The sequence below is a fragment of the Homo sapiens genome, chromosome 8, assembly GCF_000001405.40.
Source record: "Homo sapiens chromosome 8, GRCh38.p14 Primary Assembly".
In the NCBI taxonomy this organism is placed as follows: domain Eukaryota; kingdom Metazoa; phylum Chordata; class Mammalia; order Primates; family Hominidae; genus Homo; species Homo sapiens.
In genome coordinates, this window is record NC_000008.11 from 65,928,779 (window position 1) to 65,954,172 (window position 25,394).

At 41.5% G+C, this 25,394-nt stretch overlaps 1 long non-coding RNA gene across 1 annotated transcript, besides 7 other annotated features; it reads right to left on the bottom strand.

Moving 5' to 3' along the window:
• Positions 1,545–2,063: an enhancer, noted in NCBI's record as "H3K4me1 hESC enhancer chr8:66842558-66843076 (GRCh37/hg19 assembly coordinates)". NCBI's record gives its function as "activates a minimal SCP1, AML or CMV promoter by ChIP-STARR-seq in primed H9 embryonic stem cells {active_cell/tissue: H9 hESC(primed)}" and the evidence as "EXISTENCE:reporter gene assay evidence [ECO:0000049][PMID:30033119]".
• Positions 2,064–2,582: an enhancer, noted in NCBI's record as "H3K4me1 hESC enhancer chr8:66843077-66843595 (GRCh37/hg19 assembly coordinates)". NCBI's record gives its function as "activates a minimal SCP1, AML or CMV promoter by ChIP-STARR-seq in naive and primed H9 embryonic stem cells {active_cell/tissue: H9 hESC(naive and primed)}" and the evidence as "EXISTENCE:reporter gene assay evidence [ECO:0000049][PMID:30033119]".
• Positions 11,277–22,947, bottom strand: LOC107986950 (uncharacterized). The gene is made up of 2 exons (XR_001745947.2): positions 22,843–22,947; positions 11,277–13,749 (listed from the first exon to the last, which is right to left on the bottom strand). It is a non-coding gene; the product is annotated as an uncharacterized LOC107986950 (long non-coding RNA).
• Positions 17,258–17,487: an enhancer, noted in NCBI's record as "active region_27466". NCBI's record gives its function as "activates an Ori minimal core promoter by ATAC-STARR-seq in GM12878 lymphoblastoid cells {active_cell/tissue: GM12878}" and the evidence as "EXISTENCE:reporter gene assay evidence [ECO:0000049][PMID:35858748]".
• Positions 19,621–19,750: an enhancer, noted in NCBI's record as "active region_27467". NCBI's record gives its function as "activates an Ori minimal core promoter by ATAC-STARR-seq in GM12878 lymphoblastoid cells {active_cell/tissue: GM12878}" and the evidence as "EXISTENCE:reporter gene assay evidence [ECO:0000049][PMID:35858748]".
• Positions 19,761–19,860: an enhancer, noted in NCBI's record as "active region_27468". NCBI's record gives its function as "activates an Ori minimal core promoter by ATAC-STARR-seq in GM12878 lymphoblastoid cells {active_cell/tissue: GM12878}" and the evidence as "EXISTENCE:reporter gene assay evidence [ECO:0000049][PMID:35858748]".
• Positions 20,001–20,150: an enhancer, noted in NCBI's record as "active region_27469". NCBI's record gives its function as "activates an Ori minimal core promoter by ATAC-STARR-seq in GM12878 lymphoblastoid cells {active_cell/tissue: GM12878}" and the evidence as "EXISTENCE:reporter gene assay evidence [ECO:0000049][PMID:35858748]".
• Positions 21,516–22,715: an enhancer, noted in NCBI's record as "MED14-independent group 3 enhancer chr8:66862529-66863728 (GRCh37/hg19 assembly coordinates)". NCBI's record gives its function as "activates an origin of replication core promoter dependent on BRD2, BRD4, P300/CBP and CDK7 cofactors, and independent of MED14, by STARR-seq in HCT116 cells {active_cell/tissue: HCT116}" and the evidence as "EXISTENCE:reporter gene assay evidence [ECO:0000049][PMID:35650434]".
• Positions 22,948–25,394: the final 2,447 nt, after the last annotated feature.

The following is a 25,394-nucleotide window of genomic DNA, read 5'->3' on the forward strand; positions in this document are numbered from 1 at the left end:
TGTTGCCTTATGACATTACGATGGCTATTATATTACTAGGCAATAGGAATTTTTCAACTCCATTTTAATCTTATGGGACAAACATCATTGGTGTATGTGGTCATGTGGTGCATTAATATATCTATATCAATATCTATCTATCTGTAGTCTAATTTATTAGATTATAAAATTGTATTGCTTGTAAGGAATGTTTAGTTTACCCTTTAAGCATTTGAACTCCTAGAAGAGAACCTTAAATATGTGAAATTTGCAAATATAGTTAAAATGCTTATGGAAATGACTAAGAACTTGGGGAATTAACTAACTTTGTAAATGGGAATGGCTATTAAAAGGAATTTAGCCTGTTTAGCTTAAGTTAATCAGGTATTAATAAAATAATAACTAAAAGTGACTCATATTTTATTAGAATTTCAAATAAAATCAAATGTCTTGTAAATTGCACTTAAAATTTAAGGCAGATGGGTTTTAAATTTTGTAACATTAATAAGTGACTACTAATTGAAAACCAAAGTGACTGTAAACAGTTCTTTCTCTGTACAAAGGCCCCCTTGGACTCTAAAAGGCTGCACATTGACACATTTTCATTCTGGATGAATAGAGGCTTTATGCAGCAATTCCCTGTTTACTCAGCCTGTAGCACTTGTCTAGACAGGACAATAGGCTGGTTAGTGCCAAATATGAAGGCAGCAGCAGGTTCCAAGAACTTGTGGTGCACTGTGGTTGTTGGACGTGATCTTCTTCTACGATTCCCGCCACTCTATCCCTTGCACAACATTCTTACTTAAAACCATTTTTTTTTTCTAACTAAAAAGAAATCTGGCCTTGGGTTAGGGCAAACAAAGCATGTCCCATTCTGCAGGTGTGGTTACTCTGACAATGGAGCCCAACTTGCATTGCTCAGTGGGCTCCATTTTCCCCGCTTCGAGTATGTGTTCTTCTGGTGAGAGACTTCAAGACCACCCTCCAGAAAAGGAAGGATTCAGTATTTTCATATTTTCTGGCAAATGATTTTAGGTTGTACTGACATCCTTTCTTGTTCAGCAGAACTTCAGTTTATTTATCTCGGCTGTAGCAGAATGTTGGAGATTCTGAACCTGCTGAAGAATCGTTCTATTCACGGTCCTCTGTTATTTTCCTTTTTTCGGGTCTAAATGGATTACCAGTGGAATAACAGCTATTTCCACCAGGATGGAGTGGGCTTGTTGGTTCTTCCTGGCATCTCCCTGTGTGAGGCTGCTGGAGGAGTGCTCAGCACTCACTAGTAGGTTTGTGAGTTCGGGATTTGAGGTAGACCTGGCTCTTGGAGTAGCCAGCAGGGGCTCCGCCTCTGATAACGTCCCGCCTATTCCTCGGTGACAGTCGCGTCTCAAGAAGTCAGGAGCCCTCCCATGTGCTCCTTCCTATTATAAAATCTCTATTACTTCAGCACAGCTTCCTTTGTCAACTGGTTTTATTTATTTATTTTTGAGACGGAGTGTCATTCCGTCGCCAGGCTGGAGTGCAGTGTCGCGATCTCGGCTCACTGCAAACTCCGCCTCCTCGGTGCAAGCGATTCTCCTGCCTCAGCCTCCCAAGTAGCTGGGATTACAGGCATGAGCTACCATGCCGGCTAACTTTTGTATTTTTAGTAGAGAGGGGGTTTCGCCATGTTGGCCAGGGTGGTCTCAAACTCCTGACCTCAAGTGATCCGCCCGCCTCGGCCTCCCAAAGTGCTGGGATTACAGGCGTGAGCCACTGCGCCTGGCCAACTGGTTTTATTTTAATTCAAAAATTTTACCTGATGCTCTCAAGAGTAACTTCAGTTCCAAAGCCCTCTTTTGACAGGAAGTGACAGAATTCACAACAAAGAGACGTCCCTGATAGCCAGACAGGCATACAGGGAACGTGTCACTTAGCCCTTTGGCTTCCAGAGATTATTTCTAACCACACAGAGTCCTCAGAGCGGGAGAGATTTGGGATTGCTTTCCAGCCAGGTCGCTGGGCACAGACTCAGCCCCCTGGGCTGTGCCTCCTGTTGTGTTTCCCCAAATGCCTGGCCTGGGCCTCGTCCCTGGGCCCTCTCTGCGTTCTGTCAACCTCCTCATGTGGGGCAGAGTGTGGTTGAGTCCCTGCCACTGTCTGGCCTTGGCATAGTTCTGAAAGACAGTGCTACTGGCACTTCAGTGTGCTACAAACCACCTGGGGAGCTTGCGAAAATGCAGGTGCTGACTCCCCGGGTCTTGGCTGGAGAGCAGGGGATGGGGATAGCTGAGGGCCTGGGTTTCTGTCGAGCTCCGGGTGATGATATGTTGCAGTTCTTGGACCAAAATTTGAATAGAAAAGATTGAAAATGTAGTTTAGGTCTCTCTCAATCTCTCTCCCTCTCTTTCGTTCTCTCCCTCTCTCTCCCCACTCTTCCTTCCTGCCTTTCTTCCTTCACTTTCCTCTTGTTAGTAAGACTCCTGTACCTAATTAAGGTCACATGATTTCTGTCTCTTCGAACTTGAGTTACACTTCAAAAATTCCCCCCTACACCTACACCAGGATTTAGGAAAAAAGATGTGTGTTTGTGGTGGAGATGGGCTGAAAAAACCCACTTTGTCATTCAAATGGCAGCCTTCTAAAATTACCTTCAGTCCAAAAACTTCTGCCCATAGTCCTTGTGGATTATTTATTTATAGTGTGTCAAATAAGAATCTAATCCTCTTTATATCACTTGTCTTTCCTTTCTTTTGAACAACAGGTCTCAATATTTAAAAAAAATTTTTCTCTTTAGAAAAAAATAATTTTCCTATTAAATTCTGGTGATATGACCACAACCGGATCCCAGGATCCCTATTGGTAGTCATCATTTATAATACAATTTAATGTTCTAAATAGCTTGCCTATTATGCTGGGGTGAGAAAAAATTATTCCCTACAATGAATGAATATTAAAATCAAAAGGATATTAAGTTTCTAGTCAATTTTGGAACTGAAAACTGCAGTAATTATTTTGTTTGTTGTGTGCTCTGTACATATATACCAGCTTTTTAATTCTTTCGTGTTATTCTTTTTCAACTTTTGTAGCAGCAGCTGATCTAGTGCACTTACCAAAGGTGCTCCATTTCCTTGCTGTGTTGTCATGTCAGATGTGGTCAATGATATCCTGTTTCTGTGGGAACAAGTGCAACTTCCTTCATGATGCAGAAGCAGGAGCTACCTCTGAGAATTAATAGATTCCATTAAAAAATGCTAAAAATTATCATTATAACTTTACAGAGAGGAAGGCTTAAAGATTAAACACTGTTGATGCCTCTCCACTCTCACTTTCAACCTCCAACATTTGCCAAGAAATTAGAGGCAGATCAAGAAGATGTTGCTCACATTGCTGATTCTGTGGCTCAGTACCCTCCAGGTGCCTTGGCACTCAGGTGCTATTTAGTCTAAGAAAGCATCTTAAAACCTAAACATTAATCAAGAAAATAATGATCATTTACCAATTATGACCTGAATGTACAGAAAATAATTTTGTTGTATAGAGGAGAAGATGTTTTTAAAAATGGGGGGAGGGATAGCATTAGGAGATATAACTAATGCTAAATGACGAGTTAATGGGTACAGCACACCAACATGGCACATGTATACATATGTAACAAACCTGCACGTTGTGCACATGTACCCTAAAACTTAAAGTATAATAACAAAAAAAAACAATTAAAGGGGGGAAAAAAGAGTAAACAATACCAATAAATAAATAAATAAATAAATAGAAATGGTGCTCTCTAGTTGTCAAACATTCTAGGTACATTAAAGTCACAGGTTTATACATATCAGGAGATGTGATCAAACCCAGCTCTAATTCTATGCTTCTTTACCTCTACTCTATACTATTTAATTATTAGCAAGTTTGTCCATTTTCTAAAGATAGTTTGTTGTCTACCAGTACAGAGTAATGGTTAAAACACTGACTATATAGCCAATATAACAGAGCATTCTCTCTCCTTGGGAAACTTTACTTTTAGTGAGGAAGAAAAACAATGTAATCATTTGAGCCTTTTTACAAATGTAACTGGTGTTTTGTTATTTGTATTGCTTTTGTTTTGCTGCTTTAATTCACAAGGTGGGTGGATAGGAGGTAGATGGATGGGGGCTGAAAAGTAATGAGGGTCAAGATGTTTTTCAATTTCCCAGCAGATGGAGAGCCCTACATAGTGTCTATAGGGCTCACTCACCTTATACCCAACCTATCCAAGGTGGTAGTAAATGCTTTTCTGCTTCTAACTGGGTGAGGAGGAATATTATGATTTGACTCAGAACATGGAAAAGAGACTTAAATGGGAAAGACAGGAGTGTCTAGCTGTGTGTGCATGCATGGGGGAGGGAGGAAGTACAGGTCTCCCTAGACAGAAGGAAGGTAAGGCGTTTGAGGGGTTGCTGAGTGTTGAGGAGTGGGGTGTGTAAGGTCGGGTGAATCTCTGCCTTAATGGAAAGTCAGTCCAGACTGGCCAATACATGCTGGGGCTTTTAGTAGGTTCAAGGGTCCTGTGGTCTTTCTGTAACTGGTGGAGAGGATTGCTGGGGTGGGGGTGGAGTGGTCCCTGAGTTTGCCAGGGAACCAGTACACCAGACCAGCATGCAACTGCAGCATCAATTTTCTGTGGAGAAACAGTTTTCTGGTGTTGCATAAATTCAGAATTCTTGGGTGATCTCATGAGGGTGTGGGGTGGGGAAGGAGCCCACAGATTAAATTCTCATGAGTCAAGAGGCTGAGAATTAGGAGCACATTTAGTTTTAATTTTAGGAATAATGGAATGTGACATTTTTTTTTGCACCTGAGTAATGAAGAGTGAAATTCCTGCTTGCTATACAAATAAACAAGCAATTGCAACACAGGGTGATGAACAATGTTGGATGAAGCATCAAGTTCACAGAGAGCACTTAGGAGGGCAGGGAAGGCCTCCTGGGAAGAGTTGTCTAAGCCAAGACTGAAGAACATTAGCCAGGAGAAGGGATGTTGGGAGGCACTAGGGAGGGAGAGGAGGAAGAATGCTCCAGACAAAGGGAATAAAGGCACAAAGGCCAATGGGAGAATGAGCAGGAGTACCTGGAAATGCAGCATGACTGGACAAGAAGTTATGGGGGGAAGATTGGCCCAAGGTGAGGTGAGCTGAGGACAGACCAGAAAATTAGGGATTTATCCTGAAGGCAATGGGGAAGCAATTGATGTGTTTTACACAGAGGAGTGACATAATAAGATTTACATTTTTAGAAAGATCTCTCCGACTATCAAAAGGAGAACAAAATGTAGGGGGCAGGAAGGACAACTCTATCTGAAGACTAGCCAGCTGAAGGGAGACAGGGCTTAAGGTGCTGTCAGGGCCATGCCCTCTCTAGTGCTCTAGGGGAGAATCTGTTCCATGACATATTCTTAGCTTCCAGATTGCTGGCAATTCTTGGTGTTCCTTGGTTTGTAAATCCATCACTCCAATGTCTGCCTCTGTCATTGAATGGCATTCTCCTTGTGTGTTTCTGTGTTTTCACATCATCATCCCTCTGTATGTGTCTGTGTCTCTTCTCCTCTTCTTATGAGGACACCAGTTAGATTGGATTTATGGCTCATCCTACTCTAGTATGAATTCACCTTGACTTAAGTAGTTATATCTGTAAAGAACTGATATGGTTTGGCTGTGTCCCCACCCAAAAGCTCATCTTGAACTGTAATCCAAATTATAATCCCCATGTATTGGGGGAGAGACCTTGTAGAGGTGATTGGATAATGGGGGCAATTCCCCTATGCTGTTCTCATGATAGTGAGTGAGTTCTTACAAGATCTGATGGCTTTATAAGGGGCCTTTTCCTGCTTCGCTCTACACTTCTCCTTCCTGCTGCTATATGAAGAAGGACATGTTTGCTTCCCCATCCACAATGATTGTAAGTTTCCTGAGGCCTCCCTAGCCCTGCATAAATGTGAGTCAATCAAACCTCTTTCCTTTATAAATTACACAGTCTTGGATATGTCCTTATAGCAGTGTGAGAATGGACTAATACAGTAAATTGGTACCAAGGGAGTGGGGTGCTGCTATAAGGATACCTGAAAATGTGGAAGTGACTTTGGAATCAGGTAACAGGCATAGGTTGGAACAGTTTGGATGTTCAGAAGAAGACAGAACAATGTGGGAAAGCTTGGAACTTCCTAGAGACTTGGAGGGCTTAGAAGATAGGAAGATGTCAGAAAGTTTGCAACTTCCTGGAAACTTGTTGAATGGCTTTGACCAAAATGCTGATAGCAATGTGGACAAGGAAGTCCAGGCTGAGATGGTCACAGGTGGAGAAGAGGAACTTGTTGGGAACTGGAATAAAGATGACTCTTGATATGCTTTAGTAAAGATACTGATGGCACTTTTCCCCTGGCCTAGACATCTTTGGAATCTTGAACTTGAGAGAGATGATTTAGGATATCTGGCAGAAGAAATTTCTAAGCAGCAAAGCATTCAAGAGTTGACTTGGGTGCTCATAAAAATCATTCCATTTTTATCCATTCACAAAGATATGGTTTGGAACTGGAACTTATGTTTAAAAAGGAAACAGAGCACAAAAGTTCAAAAAATTTGCAGCCTGACAATGCGATAGAAAAAACAACTCATTTTCTGAGGAGAAATTCAAGTCAGCTGCAGAAATTTGCATAGGCAATAAGGAGCCAAGATAATCGGGAAAATGTCTCCAGGGCATGTCAGAGGTCTTTGAGGCAGCCCCCGCCCCCATCACAGGCCCAGAGGCCTAGGAGGGAAAAATGGTTTCATGGGCCAGGCCCAGGGCCTTGCTGCGTCCTACAGTCTTGGGACTTGGTGGGCTGTATTCCAACCATGGCTAAAAGAGACCAAGGTACAGCTTGGATCATTGCTTCAGAGGGTATAAGCCCGAGGCCTTGGTGGCTTCCACATGGTGTTGAGCCTGCAGGTGCACAGAAGTCAAGAATTAAGGTTTGGGAACCTCTGCCTAGATTTCAAAGGGTGTATGGAGATGCCTGGCTGTCCAGGCAGAAGTTTGCTGCAGGGGCGTAGCCCTCATGGAGAACCTCTGCTAAGGCAGTGCAGAAGGGAAATGTGGGGTTGGAGAGCCCACAAAGAGTCCCCACTGGGGCACTGCCCAGTAGAGCTGTGAGAAGAGGGTCACCATCCTCCAGATCCCAAAATAGTAGATTCACCAACAGCTTGCACCATGCACCTGGAAAATGCACAGACACTCAACATCAGCTTATGAAAGCAGTCCGTAGTGGGGCTGTACCCTGTAAAGCCACAGGGGCAGAGCTGCCCAAGGCCATGGTAGCCCACATCTTGCATCAGCGTGACCTGGATGTGAGACATGGAATCAAAGGAGATCATTTTGGAACTTTAAGGTTAAATGACTGCCCTATTGGATTTCAGACTTGCTTGGGCCTATAGCCCCTTTATTTTGGCCAATTTGTCCCATCTGGAACAGGTATATTTACCTGATGCCTGTACCTCATTGTGTCTTGTAAGTAACTAACTTGCTTTTGATTTTATAGGCTCATAGGCAGAAAGGACTTGCCTTGTCTCACACGAGTCTTTGGACTTGGACTTTTGGGTTAATGCTGGAATGAGTTAAGACTTTGGGAGACTGTTGGAAAGGCAGTATTGTGTTTTGAAAAGTGAGGATATGAGATTTGGGAGGGGCCAGCAGGTGGAATGATATGGTTTGGCTGTTTCCCCACCCAAAGTTTCATCTTGAATTGTAATCTGATTTATAATCCCCATGTGTTGGGGGAAGGACCTCATAGGAGGTGATTAGATCAGATGGGTGGTTCCCCCTGCTGTTCTTGTGATAGTAAGTGAGTTCTCATGAGATCTAATGGTTTTCTAAGGGGGTTTTCTCCTCTTCACTCTGCACTTCTCTTTTCTGCTGCCATGTGAAGAAGGACATGTTTGCTTCACCTTCTGCCATGATTGTAAGTTTCCTGAAGCCTCCCAAGCCCTGTGGTACTCTGAATCAATTAAACCTCTTTCTTTTTAAATTACTCAGTCTCAGGCAGTTCTTTATAGCAGTGTGAGCATGGACTAATACAAGACCCTGTTTCCAAGTAAGGTCACATTCCAAGGTTCTGGAAAAGAAATGAATTTGGGGGATGGGAGGACACTATTCTTCTACCCAGTACAAGTTTCATGTGAGCACAACAAAGTTGATCACTGCTGGTTCTGAATTATAAGGCACCAGGCTGCTGCCTAATCAGTTATTTTCTCTTACAAAATCAACCCCATGCAAGTAGGGACTAATGTATTCCAGAAGTATGCCCCCTTGGGTAGCTTGCACATAGATTATCATATAGATTCACTTGGCTTTTTCAGATCTGGAAAGGCTGTAATTGAAGTTCCAAGGAGTAGAAAGATTACAACAAGCACTTGTTCACTTAAGTACATGCTATATTCTCCATTGAGACAACACACTGTATTTTTGACTCAACATAACCTATAAGAACTCTGTGGAAACAGAAGTCAAATATATATTATAATGGCATAATGCTATGCAAACATACACATCAATTTTATAAAATGCTAAAGAAAAGTTAGAATAATCTATTGTTTTAGGAAAGGAAAATACTTTTAGTTTTGAGGTCAAAATCTGTTTATAACCTGATAAGCTTATAATATATATGTAAGCTTATAATATAATATATAAGCTTATCAGAAAAATCAGAGAAAGCTTATATTTTGTCACCAAACATCAGTTTCAGCTATTTATCAAAATGATAAAACTGAGACATCAAGCAACTGAGTTTAATTCTTATTATGTCATATGCATATTTAGTGTGACACAGTCACAAGCTGTATGATTTACATGCTATATCTCTCTTCTTTCTTGCTTGCTTGCTTTTTTCTTTTTTCTTTCTTTTTTTCCTCTCTTCCTCCCTCCTTTCTTTCCTCCCTCCCTTCTTTCTTTTCCTTTCTTTTTTCTCTTCCTTCCTTCCCTCCCTCCTTCCTTCCTTTCTTTTCTCTCTTTCTCACTCTTTCTTTCCTTCCTTCCTCCTCTCTCACTTTTTCTTTCTTTTTTTTTTCTCTCTCTTTCTTTCTTTCTTCCTTTTCTGACGGGGTCTTGCTCTGTCACCCCAGCTGGAGTGCAGTGGCATGATCATAGCTCACTGAAGCCTTGAACCCCTGGCTGGGCTCAAGCAGTCCTCCTGCCTCAGCCTCCTTAGTAGATGGGACTATAGGTGCATACCACCACACCTGGATAATTTTTTATTTTTATCTTTTGTAGAGATGGGGCCATGCCATGTTGCCCAGGCTGGTCTTGAACTCCTGGGCTTAAGTGATCCTAATGCCTTGGCCTCCCAAAGTGTTGGGATTACAGTGATGAGACACTGTGCCCAGCCCTCCCTTTCTATAGAAGGAATATATCCCTACATATATGGTTAGATGGGTAGTTTAACATTTCCTTGCTTTTAGTATGGAGCAGAACACTTATACTTTATTGTATTCTCTGTGAATTCAGACCATATAGTCTATGATAACAACATTTATTTTGAAAATTAAATTTAGAAAAAAATTCAAAGGGCCTAGACCCATTTTTCTGGTCTGTAGAGAGAGGTCCTTTTGGGTCCTCAATCCATCATAAGACAGATGACTTATTTTATCTAATGAGAAGTCATATTTTGTCAGACTGCCGTCAGTGCTTGTATTAGCCCATTCTCACATTGCTGTAAAGAACTACCTGAGATTGGGTAACTTATAAAGAAAAGAGGTTTAATTAGCTCATGGTTCTGCACACTTTAAGGAAGCATGGCTGGGGAGATCTCGGGAAACTTACAATCATGGCAGAAGGCAAAGGGGAAGTAAGCACATCTTCACATGGCCAGTGGGAGAGAGCAAGCAAGGGGGCAGGTGCTACACACTTTTGAACAACTAGATCTCGTGAGAACTCTATCATGAGAACAGCAAGGGGGAAATCTGCTCCCATGATTTAATCACCTCCTACCAGGCCTTTTCTTCAACATTGGCAATTATAATTTGACAAGAGATTTGGGTGGGCGCACAGAGCCAAACAAAATCAGTGCTCTTTTCTAATTTGTCCATGAAATTTTTGAACTGGAAGGGTAGCACTGTGGTCCTACCCACAGCCCTCCAGGTTTACATCCCCCTTTGGTGAGAGCAATCAACCACATGCAGATCCATGTGGCTGTTCATCACTGGCCCCTGGGTTTCCCATGCACTTCAGGTAGTGGTTGATGAGATTTTGCTGTGTGTCCTGCTAAACCCAGTAGCACTTTGTCTATTTACCTCTTTTTATATGACTTGCTAGTAAGTAGGTGTGGGGGTAACCATGTTAAAAAAGAAATGAGGTTAATTGTAGCTGATTTGTTAATGTACCCACTATAGCTGTCAGTGATCACATGCTTTCTTTTTAGATGCTGAAAAAAGCTCTATTTGACAATCAGTTTTGGAATTTTGCCCAGGATTAACATCACCAATACATACGTCAAAGACATAATAATAACTCCCAATTATTATTTTATTGAGTGTGTCCCCTATGCTAGGCATTGTGTTAAGTGCTTTACTTATATTATCTCACTGAATTTCTACCACAAGCCTATGGAATTGATTTTACTCCCAGATGGAGGATGAAGGCCACAGTAGTTTAATTATTTTTCCAGATCCACATAGCTTGTAAGTGGCAGAGCCAGTATCATCCTCTAGCCTGTCTGACTTACAAACCCATGCTGATAACAACAGCTCTGGTTGCCCGATAATGTCCTATACAAATCAGTATCATTACACTTTCCAAATTTTTACTGTATTATCTGTTGAGTGTCTCCCTTCTCTGGGAACCATGTCTAATTTCTCTTTATAGGAAGGATCTCAAAAAGTTTTTGTTGAATAAATGTATTAACAATGTCTTTCTATTACTCAGAATCTCCCATTTGCCCACCCTTACGCAATACTTAGCTTCTTGTTCACAACAATTTCAGATAGTGGCTCAATTATGTCAGTGTTTCTGGCAGCTAGGGGTTCTCATAAAATTCTCTCTCATTCAAGACTTAACCAAAGCCTTTGTTTGAGCTTTTAGAATCTGATAAACATCACCTAGGGAGAAAACAAGGTGAAATAGAAAATGACTGGTTGTTTTTTCTTTTTATCCATTAACTTTTTAACAGCTGCCAAGTAAGAATTTATGTCTGCCGTATTCTTCATCTCTGAATATGAATTACTACCCTTATTGCCCTTAATCTTTTTCTTTATGAAATGGATGGTCATATTTAAATCAATAATACATTGGAGTAAGACACTTAGAACTGAGCACTTCTTGGCCTGGAGTCTCATTTGTTTATTCATTAATCAAATCACACTTTGGGAGGGAGAAGGAAATGGGAATAATTAATGGGTACAAAAAATATAGTTAGATAGGATGAATAAAGATCTAGTATTTGATCTTTATTCAACAAGATAACTACAGTCAACAACAACTTATTGTACACTTTTAAATAACTAAAAGAGTGTAACTGGAATGCTTCTAACACAAAGAAATAATGAATACTTAAGGTTATAGATACCCCATTTACCTTGATGTGATTATTACACATTGTATGCCTATATCAAAATATCTCATGTACCGCATAAAAATGTACCTACTATGTGACTGTAAAAATAAAAAAAAATTAAAAAATTAAAAACAAAAAAACCTAAATCATATTTAAGATGTAATTTTGATAATGTAAGAATACTGGGAGGAGAGTAAGTTAACAAATACTCCCTGATACTTAAGGAATTTTGAATTATGTGCATATTTATGGCAACCTCAAAAACAGGAGGAAAAGCAAAAAGATGACTATAGTCCTTAAAATGTACAGACACTCTTTTTTGGCTTTGGCTAACATGTACCCATTCTACTCTGCCTATTCTGCCTATAACATGTGTCTCCCACTGGATACATTCCCAACCAGGAAGGTTTGATAGTTATCTCTTTCCAGTCAAGAATTCTGTGTTTTGGTCAATAATTTGTAATAGGCTTGACATGTGATTCAGTGTGGTCTCTAACAGAAAAGTCTGCTTTAGGGAATAAACTGGATGGTGAAGGTCAAAATTTTTACCTACTCAAGGGTTGTAACTGAACTAATGGACTTAGCAAATGCCAAAAACAAGGAGTGCTCAGAAGGAGAGTCATTTGCTGAGATCCATTACTAGGAAGGAATAAGACTAGAGTGTCTCCAAGTCATAGAGGAACCAGGTCTAAAGTCAGCTGTGAATCTGGATTAAAGAGGATACCATGGCACACAAGTGGAAAGAGATGTTTCTAGATGGCGTCTGTCCACTGATCTTATCAGGAGATGCCCGTGCTATGTATCTCTTAACGTGGTGGTACTTCATTGACCCCTTTACATGCTATTTATACAGCTATTCAATCCATGCAGTAGATTTGTTTGTTAACCACCATTAGGAGGACATTGCTAGGTGTTAGGGATGCCAAAAATGATTGAAGTCAATGTATTTTCAGGGTAGCAAGTGAAGCAATCATGCCAAACAACACATCCGTTTTCCATCATAACATAAGAAACAAGCAATTAGAAAACTGTACATCTAAATCACCATTACAAGATGGAGAAAAAGGGATGCATTACTACGTGCTATGCATGATTATCAAAGTGCCTCTGAATGTTAAGGATTATGAACATGATGTATATGGTGCAGACCTTACCAAGATATACCATTTGATACATGTAAATAAAGTCTACTTTCTATACTAAAGTCACACTTTTGATAATAAATTATTATGCATTGAGTAATTACTCATGAAATTATTGTTCTTTAGTGCCACATTTGCCTTTCTCTCTCTCTTTCTATGCACACACACACACACACACACACACAACCATTATTAACTTTCTGGCTAAACCATTTGAAAATAACTTTCACACAATATGACCCTGACCTTTCACTCTTAAATACCTGATCATACTTCTAAATGCCTCCTAAGGACAAGAACTTTCTCTTACATAACCATAATTCAATAAACAAATTCAGGAAATTTAACAGCAATACACATTTCTATTACCCAACATACACCTCATATGAAAATTTCACCAATTATGCCAATAATTAAATGTCCTCTAGGGCATTTATTTTTTTGATCCAAGAGCCAGTCCAGGATCACACCCTTCAATTTTGTTGTCATGCCTCTCATGTCCTTTTCCTTGGAATAGTCCTCACCCTCTCTGTTCCTTTGATGAAATGGACATTCCTGAGGGGTACCAGCCTGTGTGTAGAATGTCCTTCAGCTGCGTTTGGCTGGGTATTTTGCCAGGTTTTTTGTGGAGTTCCTGGACACTGCCTCGTGTGCGATCTGGAGCAGGTCTCTTTGGTTCTCTCTGGCGCTGTCCCTGCTTTCCACGTGGTGGCCACTGTGCTCCTCCATTGCAAAAGAAAGCCCAGCTATTTCTGCTCAATCCTCTTATGCCTCAGAGAAAGTGCACTGCAGCCCCATGGCCATTAGATGGGTGCTTCTTCATTGCCCGCGGCACACCTCAGGCCAGGCTGTGGCTTTTACATAAAACTTCAGGGCTTGAGGTTAACACAAGTGTAATACAAAGAATAATGTCAAACTGCTGCTAAACATTGCTACTCTTCAAGCCCACATCCTAAATCACCATTTGAGAGTCTTTAAATAGAGTGATTTCTGCCTTAACGCTGGCCTGCCTCCATGTGGAGGGGTTGGCTCACTCTAGCACGTGTGCTCCCGCGACGTCCATGCTAGACAGTTCGGATCCAACAGATCCCCAGGCCTGGAGAGGGGAAAACATCATTCTCTACCCCAGCCAGTGACCACTTTGTTTCCTGATTTGGAAGGATTTTCTTCCCAGGAAGAATGACTCTAAGGACTCTTCTCCCTCTACCTGCTAACCTACCTCTAAAGAATTAGGCTTCTGTGACTCAGCAAGTCCAGTCCTCCCAGACCACACTGACTAAAGTTAGGCTGTCCAGTCTTATGTAACAGCAATGTGGGATAACCAGAAGCAGCCTGGAAGCACAGCCCCAAGCCAGATGCAATTCCTTTACAGCCTTTTCTCCAGCATGCGGTGAAGTGCAGAATGGTCTTTCACATGAACCCTAATATAGCCCTGTTTTCATTCCTGATCTCCTATAAACAAATGCAGGACAAGAACCCATACACACATTTCCCAAGAACAACCAGCATTTTTCAGACATAAATTCTAAATCTAGATTGAGGGGAAAAAATTTATACCTCTGCAGGAACATAATTGAGCTTAAGATATACCCAATTTACATTACTAAATAGACTGTCCAGAGCATTTGCATTTGGGTTACTGCACTGCATTTCGACTTTCTTTAAGAAAAATAGTGAGTACTTGCCCTTACACCTACATAATTAAAAGGCCCATTGAAATTATGTTTGTAAAAAACCGACTTAGCAGTTTGGCCCCAATGGTAGATTCTAGCCTTCACCCGACTGCTTGTAACTTTAAGACTGGAAGGCTTTCCAGCCTCAACTATTTTCACTATTTTAAGGCAGATTTTCCACACTGCACCTGGTTAGAGACAACATCCTTCAAATATGCCCTATCTTTCCCACTTATCACACTAAGCCCATCCTGCTGATTTCTCACTGTGTCCCTTATTTTCTCACTTCTAGGCACTTGCTTTTGTTGAATATGCTCCTCAACACTCCAGTCCCTCAAGATTCTACTTGGTCTTTAAAGACAAACCTAATGCTATCTCCTGATCTTCCCAACTGAATGTGATCACTCTTTCCTCTTAAAATCCCATAACACAAGATCTGCACCTTTCTCTTAGGGTGGTTATAATCTACCTTATGTCACAGTGATTTGGGTTCATGTTTCCTGTTCTACTAGGCTTTCTCCAGGTCAATGACAAACCAACAGTCATCCTGGCACCTCTCCCATTACCTAGCATGGTGCCTTGCAAAGAACAGGCATTCAAAATGCTTGCAGAGTTGAATTGAACTAAAACCTAGTGAATACAAGGTCTTACAGGAAATTTTAGTTCTGACCTAAATTACATAACATGGGAAACTTGAAAATATTAGTAAAAGAAAGAGAGAAGAAATGTTTCAGTCTGTTCATTTGCCAACTGCAGATGTGGCCAAATATTAACAAAGACAAGTATTGTAAATGAAGCTCCTTTATATCCTGACTTAATGAGCATTCAATGACACAGAGTAGAGCAACTGGATAAAATGATTCTTGGGCTGCAGAGTTTGAGGTTTACAAGAAAAGTGTGATCCCAGCTAAATAACAAATACAAAATTGCTACTGCTCTCTCTACCATTTAGTTGGCTGTACTGAAAGGAAAATTAAAAGTAGAATATAAGAATGTAATAGACACTAAACAAAGATCTTTAGTAACACATTTCTGATGATTACATCGCTGATATCAGATAGAGCCCCCAAGAGCCTTATTAGAGCTGACTATTGAGCAGCTGACTCTATCACAGTATAACGAGAAAGAAAAATGCTATATGGCAAATGCTACATAGGTTTCTCTTGGGGTGGGGGTAGGGGGGCTCACCTTTATTATGGGTAGATCCTTGAGAAGGCTGTTAAGAGAAATAAGTCTCTGTAGGTCTTCTGAGGAAGGAAGGAGACATGGAGAAATGTGTTTGCAACTAGAGTGGGGCTGAGGGAGAAGGGAGAGACAGGAAAGAGAGAACAAGGGACATGAAGAAATGCCATGTTCGGTGGAATATTATGAACGGCACAGGGTAACTCCTCTCTATGACCCTATGAACATTCAGAAAATTTGACAAAAAGCTTGAGGTGATTGGATTTCTTGTGAAAATCAAATCTCATGAAAAACTGGCCAAATTCTGCATCAGAATTTTTGTGAGAAAGTAGAGACAGTAAGTTCTGGTGCAGGGGACTGCGTGAGAGGGCATAAGTTCCCAGAAATCCTGGGGACTTCCCCACCCCATGGAAATTAGGGGCTTTGAAAAATTTCCCCCAGGGCACAGAAATAGAGAAGACCTTAGATAAAAATCAGCCTTATAGCAAATTTAGTGGCCACAGGTTTATCATTTAATATTCTAGGGGTATTAACCCAGGACCTATTTATATAAACACTGCCTCCATTGTAAGAAAAGAAAATAAAGCTTGAGGCAGTACAATGTGGCACATATGAGCATAGATCCTGGAGCCAAATGCCTGAGTCTGGTTCTGTGATCTTGAACTATGTGATCTTGGTAAGTTACCTGACACTCTGTGCATCAGTTTCTTCACTGGAAAAATAGGGATAATGAAAGCACCTATTTGTGAACAAAGAGTTTAACAAAACCTGTTATTCCTCTGGGAGACTTGAACATTGGTTGACTATGCAAGTTCTGTCCTGGTAGCCTGGAAAAAGTAGAAGTGTTAACTATATCACCAGCATCATTGTTTATGATAAGAATGAACCCTAATCAGTAAATTGCATCTGAACTTGGGGAATTAGAAGTGAACTGTAAGTATGTGATGGGGATGCCCTGCTTTGGGCTGCCATGAGTATGGTGACCCTGGTAACTGGGCCTGTGCTTTGCAGGATCCTTGTAGCTGTACCTATACAAGTCTTTTTTATATATATATATATATATATATATATATATATATATATATATATATATGCCTCATTTCATACTTTTTAAAAATTTGAAACATAGAAATAGGAAAAGGAAAAAATTTCTATAGGAGAGATTAACGTATAATCGAACAATCATACTCCCTTGTATTTACCCAAATGAGTTGAAAACGTATGTCCACACAAAAACCTGGACACAGATGTTTATAGCAGCTTTATTCATAGTTGCCAACACTTGGCAGCAGCCAAGATGTCCTTCAATAGGTGAGTGGATAAATAAACCATGATACATCCAGACAATAAAATATTATTCAGCACTAAAAAGAAGTGAGCTATCACATCATGAAAAGACATGCAGTGATATTAAATGCATATTACTAAGTGAAAGAAGCCATTCTGAAAAGGCTGTATGATTCTAACTAGATGACATTTTGGAAAATGTAAAACTGTAGAGACAGTAAAAAGATTGGTGGTTGCTGGGGGAGGGGGATCAGAAGGATGAATAGGTGTGGCACAAGGAATTTTTAGGGCAGTGACACTACTCTGTATACTAGAATACTGGTTACATATCACTGTACATTTGTGAAAAATCCGTAGAATGTACAACACACAGAATCCTATTGTAAACCATGAACTTTTAGTTAATAATAATCTATTAACATTGTTTCATCAAGTAAAACAATATATCACACTAATGGAAGACGTTAACATAATAACAGGGGAATCTGTGTGCCCATATAGGGCTGAGGGGGTATATGGGAAATTTCTGTACTTTCCACTCACTTTTTCTGAAACCTGAAACTGCTCTAGTCTGGTGGAGAATGAGGCTTCTAGGCCAGAGTAAATCCTGCACTTACCCCCTGTGGATCTTTTTTCCCTGAACCTGAGCTGTTGGACGACTTCAAAACTGCCAACTGCCATTGAAGGGAACAGTCTGAAGCTGCCCTGGGGTGAGCTGTGTTTCCGGTCTTACATCCTTCTCAACAGGCTGGTGGCCTGTGGTCACTTTGTAAGTCTGAACATCTGGTAGAGTCTAAGAAAACCACCTGTTGGGTGATGCACTATCTCAAAAGTGTTGTGACAATTAAATGAGGAGTTAACACAGGCAAAACACTCCGAACAGGGCTTGGGACATATAAGTGCTGTGTAATTACAGTTGTTGTAGGTGTGAGTGGTTGTGGTTTAACATTTTAATAATAAAATCTCAAAAAAGTATGAGTGATATGCCATCTGCAATATCATATATTTATCTCCACAGATATAGATATCATATATTCATTATATAATACCTTGCAAATAATTTTCTGCTCCTCAGGCAGCCCCCAAAATTCCATTATCTGGACATGTTTAAGTGATTACACCATGGAACCCAAATTAGGACTGCAAGTTTCCAAAGTCCAGCCTGCCCTCAGCATAGCTGAGCTCCCCTCAAAATGAACTAACTGACCCCAGAGCTTTTGAGTGACTATGTGTCTGAAATCTATGCTTTCCTTGTTATTGTATCCCAAGTTCCTAGCATGAAGCCTTGCACATATTCATTTATTCACAGACTAATGTTTATCAAGGGCCTACAATGTACCAAGTGCTGGGCTAGTATTAATAGTTGTTTTTATTTTTATTTTTATTTATTTATTTTTTTGAGATAAGGTCTCGCTCTGTTTTCCAGGCTGGAGTGTGGTGGCACAATCTTGGCTCACTGCAGCCTCCACTTCCTGGGCTCAAGCGATTCTCCTGTCTCAGCCTCCCAAGTAGCTGGGATTATAGGCACATGCTATCATGTTTGGCTAATTTTTGTATTTTTAGTAGAGATGGGGTTTCACCATGTTGGCCGGGCTGGTCTCAAACTCCTGACCTCAAGTGATCCATCTGCCTCGGCCTCCCAAAGTGTTGGGATTACAGGTGTGAGCCACCATGCCCAGCCTAATATTTGTTTTTTAAAAGTCCTAATTGAAAACATGAACCTTGTGTTGAACACATTCTATGTGCCACCTCAGAGCTGCTTGGCCTCACTACCTCCTGGGCCCTTATTGCTTGTGTCTCCCCTGCAGTCAGCTCCCTGCCAGTCTCACACTCTACAGCCTGAGGCCAATGTCCAGAGTCTTGGATGAAACACCAAGGCACAGGTTAAACACATCTGTCTTCACATACTGAAGGGGCCAGATGATGTCATGGAAGTTTATGGGAGTTAACTCTGTGGGGCAAACTGATGAATGAAGACGGCACATAAATCGCTTCTCCATCCCTCCCAACAATGGACTGTTCTGTGGTACGGTGCTCAGGGAGCGCATCTGGAGATGGCTCCTTTATAAAGAGGCTACTTACACACTTTGTAAAGTGTCTCTTTACAAAGGAGCAACCCATCTTGTGTTTCCCTCCGTTCCTTCCAACCTTACTTCCTTTCTCCCTCACTTTTGCTGCCCTGGGATTGAAACTCCCCCACAAAACATTAGCAATTAAAGTTTTGCCACAGGCTCTGATTTCTGGGCCACCTGGGCTAAGCCTTGCTCATAGATCCATGCCCTTAGTAATCCTAGTTACCCTTCTGTTTATTGTACCCTGGGTCCACTCCTTGCCCTCTCATTCATCACACATTCCAATTCCACTTGGCTCAGTATCACAACTTTCCTGAGTATGTCTCAGTGTTGATTCCACATACTCACACCCACCTTGGTTTATCCCAGTCTCCTTTGCTTTTGCTTTTCCAGCCTCCATTCCTCCTTCTTACAGCTAGTGATAGTTTTCTGTTTCCTTGGGGAATTTGCTACTCTCTTCCCCTTGGTCCCTATGGTTCAGGTGGGACTGAGCCTCCTCCCACATCACCCAGGTCCTGGCCAATCCGTGTATTCCAAAGACCCAATCATAGTGATTGGTTTGGACACAGGGACATGACTAAATCAGTCCAAACAGAGCTTGTCTTGAGATCTTTGCCAGAACTACTGAGGTTTAAAAGCTCTTTCCCTTATTAGAAAGACAAAGGAAGAGAGCTTGGATATGGAGAGAACCTGAGAACAGAGTCAGACCCAAGGTGGGGCAAGGGGTTGGCCTTTGATGGGGAGATTTCAGCCACTGAATTAATTCATGCCTGAAGTTTCCTATCTTCAATTTGGCTTTCTCTATCTACAACAGAAGGTGAATGAACTAACTGGTTCTCTCTCTATATAAATCCTGGGCATTAATATAAAAACCTGGAGTACCCAATGTAATACAGTGGAAGTGCTCACTATCACCTTGTGATCTGCATATCTTTCCACTGCAGGGTTATGGGATGGGCTTCAGTGAGTCATTTCACAGAGTCAAGGCTTGGGACATGGGCCCTGAGGGCACACACTCCACCTGGTGCTCAAGTGGCTGTTCCTTCCACAGCGCCGCCTGGCCTGTCTCGGCTTGTATCTTCCCTTTCCCCCCTGACATGTGTTTCTGTCTGAGTGCCTTGCCAGCAGTCTGATGCAACTTCTCAAATTCTTCATACTGCAGGGAGATTTTACGGCCATTTAGGCATACAGTTCTTCAGCAGCGCAGAGCAGGTGGAATTTCTGGCACCCTACCAGATGGGAGATTCAAGAGCAGGTCTTTTGCTGTGGGAGGTGGTGGCAGCTCTCAGAGAAACTTTCCAGCTGGACCACCCCATGCCTTACACGGTTGGATTCTGCTTAACATTTCTACTTGACTCATGTTCCTGTCTTTCCTAATTCTCCTCATAATGCAGTTTTACATCTGTTTCTGGGCTCTCCACATTCTCAAACTGCCCTGGGTAATGTTTCTTCACCCATCCTTGACCCTTCAGACTCTCCTCCTTCCTTTAAGTTGCCCCTTTAGGAAGGCAGGTCTTATCAGTTCTATGCCAACCTGATGAATAGGACCTGGCCACTGGCAAAGTTTAATTACTGTTTCTTCTGGCTCAAGATCACGGTGTCCCAGTGTGTCCCAGGCTAGAACCAAAGACAACTTAAAAACTCATCCTCTACCCTGCCAGTTGTCCAGCAGACCTCTAGAATTTATGTCTATCCTGCTGTGTTTTCAGAGAAGTGTCCTCATGCAGTGATCAGATGTGTATTGAGCAAAGTCTAAAGCACATTTGGGGCTATCCTGCTTGCAGATGAGTGAGTGGCTGATGGTGAAGTCTTAAAGCAAGACTGAAAAATATTTCCACTCATGCAATGCAGCAATTTCCTCTGACACGTTAGCCACTTTAGTCCTGCACAATTTCTGGAGTTTGCTTGGTAACCTGCACAGCAGCCATACCCTGTCTACTGAACAGACATACTCTGGGCAACCAGTTGAGTTTCAGGCAATATTGATGGTGGAATTCGGGTGTAATATGCATGGACCAAACAATAATCATAAACATCTTTCATATGCAATGCTCTGGCTAGTGGCTAGTGGTTTAAACAAGAAAACATTAAATGAAAACATTATTATAAATTGTGAAATATGCTTTGAATATTTGAACTTTGAATAAGCAAGAGTCAGAGACAGAATAATTGGGGAAGGTGTCTATTCAGGGAAGGCCTTTCTGAAGAGGTGACATGAGATACAGCAAAAAGTGAGAACAAAAGAAATGAGAAAGTAGAACAAAAAGAATGAGATAGAATGCAAACAGTTGAAGGAAGGGTGTTACAGCTAGAAAAAAACAGCCTGTACAAACTCCCTAAGGTAGGTATTTTACAGGAGTGGAAAGAAAATCAGTGGAGCTGAAGTATAATGAGCCAGGTGGAGAAATGATACAAGATAAGAATTGAGGCATGGGCTAGGCATGGTAGCTCACGCCTGTAATCCCAGCACTTTGAGAGGCCGAGGCAGGCAGATCACTTGAGCTCAGGAGTTCAAGACCACCCTGGGCAACATGGTGAGACTCTATCTCTACCCGAAGTACAAAAGATTAGTTAAAATAAAACAAAACAAACAAACAAAAAAAACCTTTCTTAAAAAAAAAAAAATTGAGGTATGATCAGCGGCAGAATGTAGGGCCCTAGGGAGCTCATATATAAATCCATGTGAGAAATGAAGGCATTGATGTGAGAGAATAAAGTAGAATAATTGAAATTCCAAGGTCACCCTTACTGCAAAATGTATGGAGAATGGGTTGTAGATGGCAGAAGAGGAAGCAGGGGAGCCAGTCAGGAGGCTGCCCCTGGGTGTGGCGGCTGCGGGGAGGAATGAAGGATTTCTCCATCCTCTTGGAGGTTGATCAGTAGGACTTCCTGTTGGGTTCAACAAGATTGGTAAGAAAAAGAAGAATCAGCATGACTCTTAGGTTTCTGGTTTAAGAGACTGATTCATGGTGGCGTCACTTAGTAATCCGGGAAAATCTGAGAGGTGAGTATATTTGTAGGGGTGAGTGAGAATCCATTTCATTTTGGAGCTGAGTTTTAGATGTTTGTGAGACAGCCAAATGGAGCCATCCAATGGGAAGTTGGAATACGCACCTGAAACTTGGGCAGATGTGTAGAGGTAGGGATTTGGGAATCATCAACATACAGATGGCCTTTAGAGCCACAGGCATGAAAAAGGTCTCTAGGAGGATGTGGTAAAAAAACAGGAGGGCAGAAGGCCCTTCACCCCAGTTCCTCCCCTCAAGTCTTCTACACATGTCCTAGTCCTTCATTCTTTAGGCTTCATGTGCAGAGGATACAGTCCACTTCTGCCCTCTCACATGGAGTCTGATGGCCCCTCAGCAAGTTGGCCAACTGTGGTCACCCTCTCAGAAAGCCCAACCCCCATGCCTTTATCTTCTATACCTTTCAGATAAGATTCCTGCCCCCTCCCCACCCACTCTCTAGGTCACCAAATGATCTTCATGGCAAGAGAAAAGGAAGGAAGGAAGAAACCCTAAACAACACTGCCATCATCACCCAGCCAAGCAGCTAAACCAATAAGCAAAACTACAGCATGAGCTTTCAGAGAGATTACCCTGCTGGCCAAGTCTTGGAAGATAATTTGCTGTCCTGCGATTTGCCTTTGGGGTGAATCATGCTTCCAGACTGCTCTCTTTTGACTTAGCAGTTAGTTTGTCAGCGTATAGCCTGGATCACACGGAAGGCTGGAATAAGAGAATTTTACCAGGACCACTCTTTGATGAGCATATGCTCCATTGACAATGGATCCTAAAGGGAAAATGAGTCCCGAAGCCAATATGCACCTGTAAAGACACCACATGTTTTTCAGTGTGGTGTGTGAGTTTCAGAGACCCCATTGTGTAATTCTCCACTCCTTTTATGTTAAAGGGTGAGGATCTTCTCTTATCTCTGTATGAATATTCCCTATTCCTGGCAGATTCCCCCTCTTACCTGCTGCCTCCCACAGCTCCCAGACTATGCCAGGAGCTAATTCCTGTACCAGAAAGAAGCAAACAGGAAGTGCCCTCTTTACGGCTGTAGATAACCCGCAGCATTGAGGTTTCCTTTCGGTGTTTTGCACCTCTGCTTCAGTTCATTTTGCCCTGCCCCTTTCCTTCCGGTGCAGCATCAGGCCACTTTTCTGGCCTTTCTCTGCAGTTCTTAAGGCCACATGTTTCTCATCTTCCCACTATTTTCCTTGACCAATCATTTTATGTGCTGCTCATACAAGTGATGTGATTCGCAACTTTGCCCTGAAGCTCAATTTGTTCATGCATCTGGGCTCCCGGCTCCTCATCAGGTTTGCAAACCTGCTGTGCAACCCAGACCCATAACTTCCGCATGTGCTTTGTTCCCCCAGCTCCAGCTTGTGGCCTATCTTTGTACTAAGCCACCACCCCCACAGTTCCTCTGCTGACATATAGTGTGCACATGAAAAACTGCTTTTTGTTTCATGACTGCTTTAAATACCTGGATCCTGTGATCCTGTGCTTGTGTCTCTGTGCCTCCTTACTTATGTATTTTATGACATTTTGACTCACCCAAAACTACTCCATCTCTGCTCCCCACTGAAAGGGTCTGCCTTCTGCAGCTCTTCCCTAGGGGTCAGCATTTATGTGTATCACTACTCCTAAGCAGGGTTACCCTTTTTTTTTTTTTCTGAGATGGAGTTTCACTCTTGTTGCCCAGGCTGGAGTGCAATGGCATGATCTTGGCTCACTGCAACGTCCGCCTCGAGGGTTCAAGTGATTTCCCTGCCTCAGCCTCCTGAGTAGGTGGGATTACAGGTGTGTGCCACCACGCCTGGCTAATTTTTGTGTTTTTAGTAGAGACAGGGTTTCACCATGTTGGCCAGGCTGGTCTCAAACTCCTGACCTCAGGTGATCCACACACCTCAGCCTCCCAAAGTGCTGGGACTACAGGTGTGAGCCACTGTACCCAGTCACAGGGTTACTATTGATTAGTAAAAGTGTTTCTTTTTCCTGACCTAGAAATGTCTATTTCATGTTAATTCATCATTCAGAGCTGCTTGGGAGACCTGCGTTCAGCCAGAAAAGAATAAAGCAAGGGTGGGGAATGATAAACTGATGGTGGTCCAGCCTTTACTGACATTTAATATTAAATCTATTTCATAGGTGTGATTAGTGAAACTCTTTAAGGAAAGGATGTGTGGTTGTCACTAGTGCTGTAAACTAAATTATTCTGGGTCTCCTGGATGCATATGGTTCAATTATACTTCTTTTCTCTGAAAAAGTTAGGAAGGGCTGTGTGAGTTGTTCGGGACAAAGAAATTTTAGCAGAAGTGATATGTGTTACCTTGGAGTGGAGACTTTAAGAACCATTGTAGACTTTGGCATACTTTCCTTTCTCTGCCAAGGCCGGCATCCTCTGACAGAAATACAGTGTAAGACATATATGTCATCTTAAGTGTTTTAGTAGTCTCATTAAAAAGGTTGAGAGAAAAAAGTAAAATTAATTTTAATAATATATCCAAAATATCATTTCAACAGGGAATTGATATTAAAAACTATTTGTGAGATATTTTATAGTCTTTTATATTCATATTAAGTCTTTGAAATCTAGTGTGTATTTTACAATTACCTCTCAGTTCAGAATAGCCACTTTTCAAGGATTCAACAGCCAGAGATGCCTAGTGAATGACAGCTGGACAGCACAGGCCCCAGTCAGCATGGAAGCACAGATAGAGCTTCTTTCTCTTCACCTGGCTCCCTAAGGAGAGTGGCATAGGCACAGCTGATCTGCAGCGGATGCATAGGTGGAAGTGAGAAGTAAGACTCTGTTGTTTTCAGACACTCAGACTTTAGGGTTCTCTGTTGCTGCAACATAAGGTAACTAATAGAGACGTTGATATAAGGTATTATATACTGATGTAACAATATGCTGAAATATGCGGTGCTATTAGCTACAGGAGCAAGCAATGAGTAGCAAGGAAATTCTTACCAACTAAAAGGATAGCAATTCACTTTAAGTAGTGGTAAGACATTGGGTAAATCACTTTTGAAAACTTAGAAGGTAGTAGGTAATGCACTTGCAGTTCTAGGGAAAGAGGTTGGATGACAACATTTAGAAGCATGTGTTAGTTGCCATTGGCTGCATTTATGGAGGAATTACAAGAAAAGAAATCAGCTGAAAAGAGAATTGTTTGATTTGTAAGTAAGAATAAAAGGGAATAATAGAGATTGTCCCCAAATTGTGCAATTCATGTGGCAGAGACTTATTGCTTATTATTAACCACATATGGCAAAAAATAAAATTAGGAAATTCACTTGAAGTCAAAGGCAGATTCAAACACAAATTATCAAATTTGTGTTTACTTACTACAGATTATCAAATCAAGGCCTGACCATGGAAACCTCTGAATGGATTAAATAACTCTTTAAATTGGATAAAAGAGCTTAAGGAAAAGATACTAAAACCCTCTTTCTTAGACCCAAGGAATTCATAATTTTATGTTTGTATTGTATCCTTACCTACATAGCCTA